We start from the raw sequence: 15565 nt of genomic DNA, 5'->3' as shown, positions 1-15565 counted from the left end.
GAATTAATTTCTTTCCTTTTATTTTTTTTCTTTTTTAGAGACAGGAGAGATCATAGCTCACTGCAGCCTCAACTTCCTGGGCTCAAGCTATCCTCCTGCTTCAGTCTCCTGGGTAGCGGGGACTACAGCAAATTTTTTAAATTGTTTTTTGTAGAGACGGGGGTCTCATTATGTTGCCCAGGCTGGTCTCAAACTCCTGGCCTCAAGCCATTCTCCTGCCTCAGCTTCCCAAAGAGCTGGGATGACAGGCGTGAGCTGCAGGATTTCCTTCCTTTTTAAGGATGAATAACATTCCCTGCTATGGGTAGATCACACTTTGTTTCATTCATCAACGTCCGTTTTGCAGAGGCCCCTGCAGTCATTGGCAGCAGTGTACCTTGGCTTCTGGAGTCAGTTTGAGAATCACCCTGAGGTGCTACAAGCAGCTGGGATCACTGGGGTGGTTTCTAGCCATGTCAGTGGTACAGTTATCAGGGGGCAATGGATGCTACCCTTCTATCCCTGCACTTCCAGATCTCCTGAAATAACCTTCAGTCCCCAAAGTTCTCAACATTTCTGTAAGCCTAGAGTTCCCTGCAATGAATCTCCTTCTACCCAAAATACCTAGAGTGACTTTAGTGTTCCCGACCAACCATTCCTGGTACCAGCAGTGTTTCCAGGAAGGCAGAACCTTGAAGATGGGAATCTGGAGTTAGTAATTGGACAGACCAGGTTTTGTCTGATGTCAGTGAGGACCACGTGAGGAGTGGGAAGCAGGATGCAGATAATCTATAAACATTGTCACTGGTAAAATCATTACCTTGAGGTCTCTGCGATGCAGTGCCCATCACAAGCCTGGGTTTCAGACACCAGGGGGCTCTTGCAATAGGACATTAGGATGTGGATGGAAACCATGCATACAAGGATGTGGCATGGGGTGGCTGCTGCTTATTGCACTGGGGAACTGACAAAGAAAATGACAAGCTGTGGCCTTAAGTGCTCAGCTGAAGGTATAGACAGAGAACCAGAGCCCTTCTATAGCTGTCCTAAAAAAACCATTTTAGTTCTTGTAGCTGTAGAGTCAACTTTTTTTTTTAAATGCAGAGTACAAATTTGATCTTGCAGGCTAATGAATTACAACTAAAGAATAATTAAATGTCTTACTAAATCTCTTAAGTCAAAGTTAAGGCATTTATTTGGAAAGAATGAGACCTCGAGAACTGGAGAGGGTGGATTTCTCTGACTCTGAGTCCCCTGAACATTAGACCTTCCTGAGTCTCCCTGTAAGCAGAAGTGACTCTTCCTTAGAGTCTGAGGTGAGTAAAACTGTGCCCAAAGATCTGTGATGGCTTCACTTGAGGAAACAGCCTTGCAAGATGACAGATCTCCCTTGAGATCCACCTCCACCGACCCTCATTATTCCCAGAGCCATGACTAGAGTTGGGTGCAGAGGGATAAACACACAGTGAGACCCAAGAGGAGCCACATACACACTGAATGCAAGTTTTTGCCAATTTACATCAGCAGAAACCCAGGGGCGTCTGAGGCCGTGGACTCTTGGAGTGTTGGACCACAAAGGAGGTAACAGAATGTTAGATCAGGGTAGTTTTACCAATGAGACTCACACAGCAGAGACTCACTTAGCAGAGAAGTGTGCAGAAGCAGTGGCTGGAAGTGGTTCTCATAGTTTGTTCCGTTGTTTGACAGAAGCTTGCACACCACGTGAAATGAAGTGAGCTGTCAGAACTTCCTCCATACAACGGAGAGGAAAGGAGGCAAAAGCACAGACGTGGCAACGTTAGAGGATTTATCGCATGGCCCTGTTCATCCATCCCAGCAATGCATCCTGGGAGAGAAAGGCGTGGCAATATGCTGATGGAGGGCACCGCATCTTGGAAGGCTCTGTGGACCAAGATAGTGGTGCAAGTTGCTCTCATTGAACAGGCTGCCTGAGTGTTGGCAACCAGGTAGCAGCTCCAGCACAATGGGGTGTCCTGGTCTCAATGGGTGACAGGGCCAGGGCAGCAACTGTGTCCTTCACCCTGTAGGACTTTGGGGAATGTCTAACTGATTGAAGTGTCCCCAGGACTAAAACACGTAAGTAGCCTGCCAAAGTGTTCTCTGGTCTCTGTCTTAGTCTGTTTGGGCTACCATAACAAAAATATCATTAAAGATCTGGGTGGCTTATAAATGACAGAAACATGTCTCACAGTTCTGGAGGCTGGAAGTGCAAGACCAAGGTGCCAGCTGTGTTTGGTGGAGGCCAGTTTCCTCTCAGACAGCAACTTCCGGCTGCACCCGTACATGGGGCAAACAAGGCTCCCATGGGCCCCTTTCATAAGGGCACCAATCCATTTATGAGGGCTCTGCCCCCATGACCTTGCCACCTCTTGAAGGTCCCACCTCCCAACACCATCACCTTGGTGATTAGGTTTCAATACCTACCTTTCGAGGAGGACACAAGCATTCAGACCATGGCAATCACTGTAAGTGACAAAACCCTGTAGGTCTGGTGAACAGAGAAATGGCGTCAGCCAGCATGGTGGAGAATCCTGGCTTTTCCCCATATCCCAGAACTGAGCAGCTCAGAACCCCTGAATGCCGGGGGACCAGACCTCCTTACAGAAGGGCTCTGAGATACCACTGGCCCCACGATTGTGGGCCAGTCAGAGCGGGTGGGATGCTCGGCTCAGAGGTGCTGCCTAGCCATTCTCCAGGGCGAACTGTTTCCTTCCTTCCATCTGCAGCCACGCTGCCAAAGGGCTGCAGACTTCTTCAGAGAAATCTAGGAGAAAGATTTACAGTGCATACTGGCAACGGTATCCTGGATTCCTCTTTTTTTGTTTGTTTGTTTGAGACAGAGTCTTGCTCTGTCGCCCAGGCTGGAGTGCAGTGGTGTGATCTTGGCTCATCGCAGCCTCTGTCCCCCAGGTTCAAACAATTCTCCTGTCTCAGCCTCCCGAGTAGCTGTGACTGCAGGCGTGCGCCACCATGCCCGGCTAATTTTGTATTTTTAGTAGAGACAGGGTTTCACCATGTTGACCAGGCTGGTCTCAAACTCCCAACCTCAGGTGATCCACCCGCCTCAGCCTCCCAAAGTGCTGGGATTACAGGTGTGAGCCACTGTGCCCAGCCGATATCTCAGCTTCCTATCACATCGTTTTGCTTCACCTCTTTGGCCTGTGAAGGACAGAGGTGGATTTTGGAGAGTGACTGTGGATGGCTGCAAACACAATCGGGTGGGGACTCCAATTGCATCTGCCCCTCCAGATGTACCTCGTGTGATGGAACACCCAGCCATGGCTTCCATGAGGAAACTCATCTGACCAACGTTTCCTTCCACACACAACAGCTGAGCCACAGGGGAAGGCTACTTTCACCTGGCAGGGACAGCAATACACCCCGGCTCGTGCTTCTCAGAACTGTGCCCATCGTCCATCCCTTTGTCAAAATATAGACCTCAGGGCCCTTGACCATCTCAGTCCTGGCCATCCCATGGGACAAAGTGCCAGTTCACTATGCCGATGGTGTAATGGAGATCAGACCTGGTGGCAGGAAGTAGTAAATACTCTAACTGTCTTAGTAAGGCCCTTTCGTGCCTCCATAGTAGGAGACGCACCTCACAAAATGAAGGATTCTGTCATTTCAGTGAAATTTCTAGACATCCTGTGGTCTGGGATATATGAAGATATGTGCCCCCAGCCAGGCATGGGCTCACACCTGTCATCCCAGCACTCTGGGAGGCCATGGCAGGAGGATCGCTTGAGCCCAGGAGTTCAAGGCTGCAGTGAGCTGTGATGGCACCACCACACTCCAGCCTGGGCAACAGAGTGAGACCTTGTCTCAACAATAATGATTAATAATAATAATAATAAGATACTTGACCCAACTTCCTGTTCTTTGCACTAAGAAGGTGGCACAATGCTGCTTGGTAGGCCTTTTTAGACCCCAGAGAGCTCATGCACCATATTGAAGCAGGCTGCTTCGACCATATGGAAGCCTCCGAGGCTGTCAGTTTTGAAGGGGCCTACAGCAGCAGAAGGCTCTGTAGCAGGTCCAGGCTGCCATCAGGCACCTCTGCACGCGTGTCTCAGCAAATCAGACGGTGACAACAGGTCCGTGTCAGACAGGGATGCCGTGTGGAGCTTCCGACAAACCCTTCAGAAGAATCCCAGCTCAGCCACCCAGCGTTTTGGAGAAAAATCATGCCCTCTTCTGAAAGTAACCATTTTCCTTTGGAGACCCAGCTCCTGGCTTTCCACTGGGCCTCGGAAGAGATGGAAGTGTCAGATGACCACGTGACCTACCGGTCATGAATGAGGCAATGCAAGATTCACCAAGCATTAAAGCTTACCGTTCCCAGCATCCCTCCACCGTCACTTGGGGTGGAGACTATGGCACAGTCTCTGGGAGGGCCTGGGACTGCACTCCTCCCACTCGTTCAGGTGGCCGCCCATCTGTGCCATGCACCCACGTCCACGGCACCCAGGCCCACGGCACCCAGGCCCACAGCACCCACGTGCACAGCACCCACGTCCACAGCACCCAGGCCCACAGCACCCACACCCAGACATTGCCATTTCTCCCTCCACAAGCACCAGTGCCTTCCAGGGCAATTCCCAGCCACCAGGGGAGTGAGGAATCAAACACTCACACTCAGTTTCCAGGTAGGTCCAGACAGTTCCAGACAACACTGGCACCAGCTGAGAGCACACGGGGCAATGCTGCAGCCTCATCTGGGGATGGCCCTGTAGGGAGGCAGGACAGGGGCGTCGTCCTAGCGAGCAGCGCTTGGGGCGGCCTCACTGGCTGTGTCCTGTGCCTGGACAAGAGGACAGGACCAGACCTCTTCAGGGGATGTGGCTAACGGTTTGCCGGATGGTCCGGGACTTGGAAGCCATCTGTTTGAAAGGTTGATGACAAGGAGGCTGGGGAGAGACTTGTGGACGAACCTTTCCAGAGGGGCACAGGACGTGGGGATATTTGCGTGTCCACGGAGGAGGCTCATCACAGCCAGCTGAACACACGGCTTGTTTTGGGGATGTCACCAGCCACCCCAGGCATGCTTGATGGCTCCTGGGCAGTGCCCACAGCAGTGAGCATGGAAGCTGCGCCCAGCCTCAGACATGGGCCCCCCACCACGGCCAAAAGCCCAACAACCAACAGCAGAGAGCCAGAGCTGTGGGCCTGAAACTGCACTGTTCCCCACGGGATGAGCCGGTCACGGGGGGAGGTTGGTTTCACTGGACCCCTCCATCAGGGAGGGTGCAACGATGTGTCCCGGTTGGAATAGACGCTTCCTCTGGACATGAGTTTCTGTCCCTGGTCATGGCACTTCTGCCGACACCACATGCAGAGTCTGAGCAGCTGTCATGGTCCTCCACAAAGCATTAGCTGCGACCCAGGGCCCCATTCCACAGAGGAAAGGGAGAGAAAGGGCTCAGGCCCATGCGTTCCCTTGCTGTACCTGGGCCACGTCACCCCCATCATGGGCTGTTGAAGGCTCACTTGTGTGACAATGTGTGACAGCTGTCTACAGGACGAGGCCTCTGGAGGGTGTGGTCCCACAAGGTGGGCCAGGTCCATGTGTGATGTTCTCCCAGAGCCGGGACACGTAGGCCCAGGGTGGTTCCCTGCACCATGGCCCTAGTGACGCACCGGCTAAGCCCATGCTCCCCGCGTCAGCACGTCTGGGTTTTGCAGGTGCTGAGGTGGTGCGGAGTATTCACGTCACACACACGCTTCCCCTGAAGGGGACGCCTGGACAGCCACAGGCCCAGGAGTCCTCTTGCCACCAGAGCAGTAGACCTCCTGCTGGGGCAGCGGGCTCAGGCGGCCAAGGACAGTCAGGACGGCTCCTTCAAGGGAGCAGCGGGAGGAGGCTGAGCCTGGAGTCTCCCCAAGACCACCTGGAAGCCAAAGTTCATGAATGACATTTTGTTGTTTTTATGTTTTGCTATTTTTTTTTTTTTGAGACAGAGTCTCGCTCTGTCGTCCAGGCTGGAGTGCAGTGGTGTGATCTCAGCTCACTGCAACCTCTGCCTCCTGGATTCAGGTGATTCTCCTGCCTCAGCCTCCTGAGTAGCTGGGATTACAGGCGCCCGCCACCACGCCTGGCTAATTTTTGTATTTTTAGTAGAGACGGGGTTTCACCATGTTGGCCAGGATGGTCTCAAACTCCTGACCTCAGGTGATCCGTCCGCCTCGGCCTCCCAAAATGCTGGGATTACAGGCATGAGCCACTGCGCCCGACCATGGATGGCATTTTGGAACAACCCCAAAGAAAAGGACGAATAACGGCTCAGTCCCTTTGAGAACACAATGGCTATGGAGCCACGGACAGGACACCGTGCCGTGCAGAGGCGGCGGCGGGGCTGGGGCAGCCACGCACGTTTTCTCCTCCCACCACTTCCCCTCCTTGAGCCCTTCCCTGCTGTTTTACATGGGGTGTGGTCAGCATTTATTTATTTACTTATTTATTTATTTTATTTTTCCATAAGTTATTGGGGTACACGTGGTATTTGGTTCCAGGAGTGAGTTCTTGAGCTCTGATCTGCGAGATCCTCGTGCACTCATTACCTGAGCAGTATACACTGCACCCTATTTGTTGTCTTTTATCCCTCGCCCCCTCCCATTCTTCCCCTCCAAGTCCCCAAAGTCCACTGTATCATTCTTATGCCTTCGCGTCCTCACAGCTTAGCTCCCACATATCAGTGAGAACACACAATGTTTGGTTTTCTGTGGTCAGCTTTTAAACTTGGTATCTGATTTACAGGATGGCAAGAGAGGACCAGTGTTGACCTAGAAAAGCAGCTCGCCTGGACTGGAGGTTGCCACACCGACTCACAGGCCTCTGTTTACCCGTGCGGGGGGATGGCAGGTGGGCCTCACTGGAGAGCCGTCGCTGGGGGGCAGCAGCCGGGTGGCGTGGGCCTCACTGGAGAGCCATAGCCAGGAGGGAGCAGCCGGGTGGCGTGGGCCTCACTGCAGAGCCGTCGCCGGGAGGGAGCAGCCGGGTGGCCTTACAGGAAGTCTTCACTCTGCAGCAGGGCAGGCCTGGCCAGTGACCAGAAGCAGGCCGTGCTGGCCTGTTTGCTGGTCACAGCCCTGCACACCCCCACCCTCATGTGCTTTCCTCCCACAGCGCAGGAGAAGCTTGGACTACACCACTTGGGATGTCTTTCCTGAATGGTTCTGGGTCAGCCTCTGCCCGTGGCATCATCCAGGAGCCCTGAGTGTGGCGGCAGCATCTTCTGAGCCTGTGCCTGGTGCTGCACAAAGCAGGGGCCAGGCAGCAACTCCCCTGCCTCTCCTGTCCAGAGCCCACCTTCCCAGGTCTCCCGAAAGCCTCTCAACCTCTGTGCTCCCTACAATCCAACAGTTGAGTTCCTCGGGGAAGTGGAGAAGGAATCGGAAGACTGAGGAGTGCAGAAGGTTGGGTGGAGCTCAGGCATGACCAGCTCACCCGCCCGAGTCTCCCAGGAGATAGTCACTCCATGGCCCAGCCTTGTGATTTGCCACAAAAACAGTGCAAAAAGAAAAACCACATGTCAATTTCAATAGAGGCAAGATAAATACTTGATAAAATTCAACAGTATTTTAAGATAAAACTCTTACCAAACTAGGAATAAAATAATTTTTTTAACTTTATAAAAGGAATACGCAAAAAAAACCAAAAAAAAACAAAAAAAAACAAAGCACAGCAACCATCACAATTACACATTTTTAAATAAAATCAGGAATGAGACAACTCACCCTCACTGCCTCTAACCCACAAAGAACTTGAGGACCCACTCACCACCAGACAAGAAAAAGCAACAACGGGCCGGGCGCGGTGACTCATGCCTGTAATCCCAGCACTTTGGGAGGCCGAGGCGGGTGGATCATGAGATCAGGAGATCAAGACCATCCTGGCTAACATGGTGAAACCCCGTCTCTACTAAAAATACAAAAAAATTAGCCGGGCGTGGTGGCGGGCGCCTGTAGTCCCAGCTACTCGGGAGGCTGAGGCAGGAGAAGGGCATGAGCCCGGGAGGCAGAGCTTGCAGTGAGCCGAGATCGCGCCACTGCACTCCAGCCTGGGTGACAGAGAGAGACTCCATCTCAAAATAAATAAATTAATAAATAAATAAAATAAATTTTAAAAAGAAACAATGGATATTAAAAATTGGAAACAAAGAAACTAAACTATGTATTGAGGAAATGATTACTTACAAAAAATACTGCAATCCACAAATTATGAGAATTAAAATAGTTTAACAAGATGCTCCAATCTAGAAATCAACATTCGAAAGTCATTTGCAGTTTTCTATATGGGCATCAAACACAAATGTGAAAATTCAAACCCCAAAATAAAAAATACTTAGGAATAAACCTAACAAAATACATATAAGATCTGTGAGCAGAAAATTATTAAAGTTTAATGAAAGACTTCAAAGAAGACCAGAGAGAGAGAGACAGAGTGAGAGAGAGCAAGAGAGAGACAGCATGAGAGAGCGAGAGAGAGGGAGAGACACAGAGAGAGAGCGAGAGAGACAGAGAGAGAGAGAGAGCAAGAGAAACAGAGAGAGAGAGAGACAGAGAGAGAGCCACAGAGAGCATGAGAGAGCGAGAGAGAGAGACACAGAGAGAGCGAGAGAGAGCGACAGAGAGAGCAAGAGAGAGAGCGAGAGAGACAGAGAGAGAGAGAGCCACAGAGAGAGTGAGAGAGAGCAACAGAGAGAGAGCATGAGAGAGTGAGAAACACAGAGAGAGAGCGAGAGAGACAGAGAGAGAGAGAGCAAGAGAAACAGAGAGAGCGACAGAGACAGAGAGTGAGAGAGAGCGACAGAGAGAGAGCATGAGAGAGCGAGAGGGACACAGAGAGAGCGAGAGAGACAGAGACAGACAGCAAGAGAGACAGAGAGAGCGAGAGAGAGTGACAGAGAGCATGAGAGAGCGAGAGAGAGTGAGAGACACAGACAGTGAGAGAGAGCGACAGAGAGAGCAAGAGAGAGAGCGAGAGTGAGAGAGAGAGAGACAGAGAGAGAGCGAGAGAGACAGAGCGAGAGAGAGCAAGAGACAGACAGAGAGAGAGCAAGAGAGAGAGCGAGAGAGACAGAGTGAGAGAGCGAGAGAGACAGAGAGAGAGCGAGAGAGAGAGAGCAAGAGAGAGAGAGGTTTGTGTGTGGGAGTCAATGTTGTAACAATGTTATTCCTTCCCTCTGTAATATCTGTGTACAATGCAACTCCTATCTAAATTTCACCGGCATTGTTTGCAGAGGCAGGGAAAGGGAGTTGATAAGAAGGCAGAAAAGGGCCACAAAGATAAAGTAGTCTAAGCTCCAGAAGCTCCGAGTGCCGTGGTGACGGCAGGGCAGCGTAGGTGGACGGCAGGGGAGCATGGGTGGACGGCAGGGCAGCATGGGTGGGTGGCAGGGCAGCGTGGGTGGACAGCCAGTGCTGGGGCCGGGTAGAAAGTTGGTATTCTGAAAAAATCACATCTGCCTTTTCTCCTGTCCTATTCTCAGTGGGTCCCTAACCCAGGCAAGGAAAAGAGGGGCTGTTTGTGGTGGTTCACACCTGTAATCCCAGCACTTTGGGAGGCCGAGGCGGGCAGATCACGAGGTCAGGAGATCGTGACCATCCCGGCTAAAACGGTGAAACCCCGTCTCTACTAAAAATACAAAAAAAATTAGCCAGGCGTAGTGGCGGGCGCCTGTAGTCCCAGCTACTTGGGAGGCTGAGGCAGGAGAATGGCGTGAACCCGGGAGGCGGAGCTTGCAGTGAGCCGAGATCCCGCCACTGCACTCCAGCCTGGGCGACAGAGCGAGACTCCGTCTCAAAAAAAAAATAAAAATAAAAATAAAATAAAATAAAAAATGAGCTGGGCATGATGGCACAAGCCTGTGGTCCCAGCTACTCAGGAGGCTGAGGTGGGAGGATGGTTTGAGCCTGGGAGGTTAAGGCTGCAGTGATCCATGATCATGCCTCTGCACTCCAGCCCGGGTGATGGAGCAAGACCCTGTCTCAAAACAAACCAAAAAACCCCCACGTAAAACCACGCTGTAGGCTGGGCTCGGTGGCTAATGCCTGTAATCCCAGCACTTTGGGAGGCCAAGGCGGGCGGATCACGAGGTCAGGAGATCGAGACCATCCTGGTTAACACAGTGAAACCCCGTTTCTACTAAAAACACAAAAAAATTAGCCAGGCGTGGTGGCGGGCGCCTGTAGTCCCAGCTACTTGGGAGGCTGAGGCAAGAGAATGGCGTGAACCCGGGAGGCAGAGCCGGCAGTGAGCCGAGATCGTGCCACTGCACTCCAGCCTGGGTGACAGAGCAAGACTCTGTCTCAAAAAAAAAAAAAAAAAAAAGAAACCACCTGTATAGTGTTGAGGGTCACATGTGTGCTGTGAGGTCTACAAACGTGCCCCGGCACGACACTCCAGATGTGGAATCTGCCCCAGGAGGGAGAGCAATGGCACCACAGGGCACCAGGGGCTTTGGGTGGATTGGACGGGTTGAATCCACTTAAAATCATGGCACAGACACAGCCAAATGTCAGGGAGTCTTAGAGCTGGGAAGGGCTGAAGGTGCTTATCATATCATTCTCTATGGTTTTCCGTATGTTAGAGACATCCCATAACAAAACAGAACAGAGGAAGAGGAAGGCCAATCCGTGCTGCACTGATTTAGCAACGAGCAACTCACGAGGGAAACAAAACCCTGGCTGGAGGCACTGGCCAATTTCCGTGGTGTAAACATTCCCACCATGGCCGACGCCCAAACCACCCACCTGAGGGGGCTGACAGAGCAGACACATAGCACCGGCCTCCCAGCTGGCAGGGGCCGGCCCCCAGCACACATCGTGAAGGACACACAGCACCAGCCCCCAGCGCACACCATGAAGGACACACAGCACTGGCCCCCAGTGCACACCATGAAGGACACACAGCACTGGCCTCCCAGCTGGCAGTGGCCGGTCCCCAGTGCACGTCGCGAAGGACACACAGCACTGGCCTCCCAGCTGGCAGGGGCCGGCCCCTAGCGCACGTCGCGAAGGACACACAGCACACCTCCCTGAGCTGGAGCCAGCAGGCAAGGGTCACGTCTCTACAATCAGGGAGAAGAACAGAGAGGCTGCTGTGGGAACCCAGCAGGCATCCGGCTCACCGGCACACCCGGAAGCTCGTGTGGAGCAGGGCCGGGCACGTGCAGGCTGTGCCCACCCTCGCACTCACGTTCACGTCTGGAAGGCAGAGAACGGCCCAGCAGGGCAGCAGGCAGGTGGTGAAGGATGCACCTATGGTGATGGCTTAGACAGGAACTGGAGGGGCAGGCCCTGCCGCTTTTGTGGCCAGGATCTCCCCAGTCTCTGCCACTCCGGCCGCCACAGCAAAACACCCCCGTCGGCGGCTTCAAGCAACCGACATTTAGCTCACAGCTCTGGAGACTGTGAGTCTAACAGGCCCCGGCAGACTGTGGTTCACAGCCAGCGCCTCCTGGCCACATCCGAACGTAATGAAGCGGTGAGGGGCTCTCTGAGGTCCCTTTTGTCTGGGCACTAATCCATTTACGAGGCCGACCCTCACGGCCAGACCCGCCCAAAGGCCCCTCCTCCCAATAGCATCACCTTGGCAGTGAAGGTTTCAACAGAAGAATTTCTGGGGATAGACGTTCGGGCCATGGTGACCTCTCTGGGGGTGCCCCTCAGTGTGAGAAGGACGGAGAGAAGGCGCCGGCTCCACAGGTAGCTGCGGATTCACATTCCAGGCGGAGGTGCTGGGGCAGAGGCAGGGACGGGTGTCTGGGTGTGATCTAGATCCTGAAGGGAGGCCCGGGGGCCAAGCAAGGCGGCTGGAGCGGCCCCAGCACCATGGAGGCCACTCACTCACAGGCTCTCAGAGGCATTGGGCTTGATGCCCCCCAGGCTGTCCTGTGGGTCGGGCACCGCAGTAGGGCTGGGAAGACCAGGCCTGGCCCTGGCCGGCCCAAAGCAGGAAAATGGGTCGGCAGGTGGAACGTTTGCCCTTTGAGGGAACTGGGGCTGAGGTAGGCAGGGAGGTGGCACTCTGCTCCGTGGGCTGGAAAGAGCCCTGGGAAAGGGGGAGAAGAGCCACGTGCAGCCACGGCCATGCTGAGTCCAGACCCAGGACCAGCAGGGGTGGCTGAGGAAATGAGATGCAGAGAGGTGGTCATATAGTGACTAGAGGAGGGGGTGGTCTTGGATGGGGCGTCTTGGATGCAGGGTCTTGGATGGTGGGTGTAGACACATTTTTTGAGACAATTTGCTATGAATAGAAGAAAATTAGGGAGTTGCTAGAGGGGTTCCATGTTCCAGGAGGCACTGTGACAGGCAAGAGGGGGTGGGGGACCTGGTGTAGGCCTGGGAGGGGAGTCGGCGGGGATGAGGGGTAGGGGATGGGGGTCCAGGTGTGAGGCCTGGGAGGGGAGTCGGTGGGGATGAGGGTGAGGGTGGGGGTCCAGGTGTGAGGCCTGGGAGGGGAGTCAGTGGGGATGAGGGGTGAGGGTGGGGGTCCAGGTGTGAGGCCTGGGAGGGGAGTCATTGGGGGTGGGGGTCCAGGTGTGAGGCCTGGGAGGGGAGTCGGTGGGGATGAGGGGTGGGGGTGGGGGTCCAGGTGTGAGGCCTGGGATGGAAGTTGGTGGGGGTGGGGGGTGGGGGGTCCAGGTGTGAGGCCTGGGAAGGGAGTCAGTGGGGATGAGGGGTGGGGGGTGGGGGGTCGAGGTGTGAGGCCTGGGAGGGGAGTTGGTGGGGGTGGGGGTCCAGGTGTGAGGCCTGGGATGGAAGTTGGTGGGGGTGGGGGGTCCAGGTGTGAGGCCTGGGAGGGGAGTTGGTGGGGGTGGGGGTCCAGGCATGGGGCCTGGGAGGGGAGTCAGTGGGGGTGGGGGTCCAGGTGTAAGGCCTGGGAGGGGAGTTGGTGGGTGTGGGGTTCCAGGTGTGAGGCCTGGAAGGGGAATTGGTGGGGGCAGGGGTCTAGGTGGGAGGCCTAGAAGGGGAGTGGGTGGGGGTCCGGGTGTGAGGCCTGGGAGGGGAGTTGGTGGGGGTGGGGGGTCCAGGTGTGAGGCCTGGGAGGGGAGTTGGTGGGGGTGGGGGGTCCAGGTATGAGGCCTGGGAGGGGAGTTGGTGGGGGTGGGGGGTCCAGGTATGAGGCCTGGGAGGGGAGTTGGTGGGGGTGGGGGTCCAGGTGTGAGGCCTGGGATGGAAGTTGGTGGGGGTGGGGGGTCCAGGTGTGAGGCCTGGGAGGGGAGTTGGTGGGGGTGGGGGTCCAGGCATGGGGCCTGGGAGGGGAGTCAGTGGGGGTGGGGGTCCAGGTGTAAGGCCTGGGAGGGGAGTTGGTGGGTGTGGGGTTCCAGGTGTGAGGCCTGGAAGGGGAATTGGTGGGGGCAGGGGTCTAGGTGGGAGGCCTAGAAGGGGAGTGGGTGGGGGTCCGGGTGTGAGGCCTGGGAGGGGAGTTGGTGGGGGTGGGGGGTCCAGGTATGAGGCCTGGGAGGGGAGTTGGTGGGGGTCCAGGCATGGGGCCTGGGAGGGGAGTCAGTGGGGGTGGGGGTCCAGGTGTGAGGCCTGGAAGGGGAATTGGTGGGGGCAGGGGTCTAGGTGGGAGGCCTAGGAGGGGAGTGGGGGTCTGGGTGGGAGGCCTGGGAGGGGAGTTGGTGGGGGTGGGGGGTCCAGGTGTGAGACCTGGGAGAAAAGCTAGCAGAGGCAGAGGGTTTAATCCACCCACCTCGCAAGAGTGTCAGGAACAACAGGTCATTTCTCAAAGGCAGTGAGGCATAGAGGTTGGAGATCAGACCTCACATCACACTGAGGGTGATCCCGGTAATTACAAATTACATTTGCAACAGATCAGTACACAGAGAACATTTAAATAGAACATAATTAGTACGCTCAGAAAAATCGGTAAAACACATAATTAGTAAGCTCAGAAAAATGGTAAAACACAGAAATACTAATGAAAACAAACACATCTGCATATTCCAGTGCGGCCGAGCTTCTGTGAGAGACCCGTTGCCGTTCGCAAGTCCGAGGTGATTCAACCTTTTAAAGCCAAGGTCAGCGTGATTCTTCCAGGATAATGAGAACATCGACACCATTTGACTCAGGATTATAGTTTCTGGGCCAAATTTTAAGGAAACAATCCCTAAGGAGAAACAATTGTTTTCTCCTTTCCATGTTAGAGTGTTAGCTCTAAGAGTCAATATTACTAGCCTAAGAGTCAATATTACTAGCCTGGGTGCAGTGGCTCACACCTGTAATCCCAGCACTTTGGGAGGCCGAGGCAGGCGGATCGCCTGAGGTTGGGAGTTTGAGACCAGCCTGGACAACATGGTGAAACCCCGTATCCACTAAAAGTTAAAAAAAAAGTAGCTGTGTGCATTGGTGTGTTCCTGTAGTCCCAGCTACTTGGGAGGTTGAGGCAGGAGAATCACTTGAACCCGGGAGGCAGAGGTTGCAGTGAGCTGAGATCACACTACTGCACTCCAGCCTGGGCAACAGAGCATGACTATCTCAAAAAAAAAAAAAAAAGAAAAAGAAAACAAATGAGAGTAAACATGATTGGAAATCACTCAAGTGTCCACAGTAAAAGAATGGTTGGGCAGATTACGGTACATTCACTTAAAATCCTATGCCATTGGGGATATATTGTCATAATGCCGAAGGGAAAATGAAAAATTACAGTGGCCAGCGTTTTACGACACTCACCATGGGTCAAGAATGCTCCGTGTTGAACTCATTTAATCTTCACAAAGGTCCAAGGAGTAGCTTTGATCGGTCCCCACCTTTATGAATCAGGAAATGAAATCTCGTGCCCACAGTCACACAGCCCGTGAGCTGCAGATCCCAGGCCCACCCTCCCTGGCCTCTTGTGGTCCCAGCCTTGGGGTCAACTCTCTCCCACGCAGCTGGAAGGCTCGAGAACGGAGAACTCTTCAGAAAACTGTTTCCTGGGCAGAGAAGGGCCAGCTGGAGGGAGAGGAGCCCAGGGGAGCTGACCAAGACCACACGTCTGGGGTGTCGCTGCCTGGTTTACACCTGGTCCTATGGGTGGGGCGGGTACCAGAGGGTTTGAGCCTGACCGGTCAGGTGGGCCTGGCTGGGTGGTGTCCACTGCTGTGGGGGCCTCCACGTGGGAGGAGAAATTCCCAGAGCCAAAGAGGAGTGTGGTCCCAGAGCACGGCTCCCGGGCGCCAACCTTGGGGGAAGCGGAGGAGGCTCCCAGGCCAACCCTGGGGGAGGTGGAGGAGGCATGGGGAGAGGGTTGGGCAGCAGTGCAGGGAGGGTTGTCAGAGCCAGGGCGGGGCGGCCTCGCCCTCCCACATCAGCCTCGCTGCCTGCCGGGGGTCAGGGCGCCAGGGCCTCTCCTGGGGCTACGACTGCACCCGGAGCCGTCAGATTCTCCCAGGCAGAGGAGCCAGGTCCAGGACCCTCTCATTCTGCAGGGCTCTGCGGAGCATGGGGGCAGGTAGGGGAGGGCAGCAGGACCCTCAGAAATGGACGGACTCGGGCTGGACCCGTAAGATGTGGCTGCACCCAGGCTGAAGCCAGCTGTGCTCTGGGAACAGCTGGGGAAAGGAGCTGTGTCCCCCGG

At 54.6% G+C, this 15565-nt stretch overlaps 1 long non-coding RNA gene across 3 annotated transcripts, besides 3 other annotated features; it reads right to left on the bottom strand.

Moving 5' to 3' along the window:
- Positions 1 to 243: 243 nt before the first annotated feature.
- LINC02689 (long intergenic non-protein coding RNA 2689) lies at positions 244 to 15135 on the bottom strand. 3 transcript variants are annotated; one of them, XR_930972.2, is made up of 5 exons: positions 14680 to 15135; positions 4634 to 4727; positions 2595 to 2764; positions 2425 to 2488; positions 244 to 1881 (listed from the first exon to the last, which is right to left on the bottom strand). It is a non-coding gene; the product is annotated as a long intergenic non-protein coding RNA 2689 (long non-coding RNA). The 3 variants fall into 3 exon arrangements; XR_001748092.1 differs by having other exon boundaries at positions 244 to 1725; positions 2425 to 2764; XR_930969.2 differs by having other exon boundaries at positions 244 to 2764.
- Positions 5206 to 5705: an enhancer, noted in NCBI's record as "H3K4me1 hESC enhancer chr11:1380967-1381466 (GRCh37/hg19 assembly coordinates)". NCBI's record gives its function as "activates a minimal SCP1, AML or CMV promoter by ChIP-STARR-seq in primed H9 embryonic stem cells {active_cell/tissue: H9 hESC(primed)}" and the evidence as "EXISTENCE:reporter gene assay evidence [ECO:0000049][PMID:30033119]".
- Positions 5706 to 6207: an enhancer, noted in NCBI's record as "H3K4me1 hESC enhancer chr11:1380465-1380966 (GRCh37/hg19 assembly coordinates)". NCBI's record gives its function as "activates a minimal SCP1, AML or CMV promoter by ChIP-STARR-seq in primed H9 embryonic stem cells {active_cell/tissue: H9 hESC(primed)}" and the evidence as "EXISTENCE:reporter gene assay evidence [ECO:0000049][PMID:30033119]".
- Positions 11288 to 12035: an enhancer, noted in NCBI's record as "H3K27ac-H3K4me1 hESC enhancer chr11:1374637-1375384 (GRCh37/hg19 assembly coordinates)". NCBI's record gives its function as "activates a minimal SCP1, AML or CMV promoter by ChIP-STARR-seq in primed H9 embryonic stem cells {active_cell/tissue: H9 hESC(primed)}" and the evidence as "EXISTENCE:reporter gene assay evidence [ECO:0000049][PMID:30033119]".
- Positions 15136 to 15565: the final 430 nt, after the last annotated feature.

This window comes from Homo sapiens, chromosome 11 (assembly GCF_000001405.40).
Source record: "Homo sapiens chromosome 11, GRCh38.p14 Primary Assembly".
NCBI classification, from domain to species: Eukaryota; Metazoa; Chordata; class Mammalia; order Primates; family Hominidae; genus Homo; species Homo sapiens.
The sequence above is the reverse complement of the archived record's forward strand: the minus strand, read 5'-3'. Positions and strand labels throughout refer to the sequence as shown.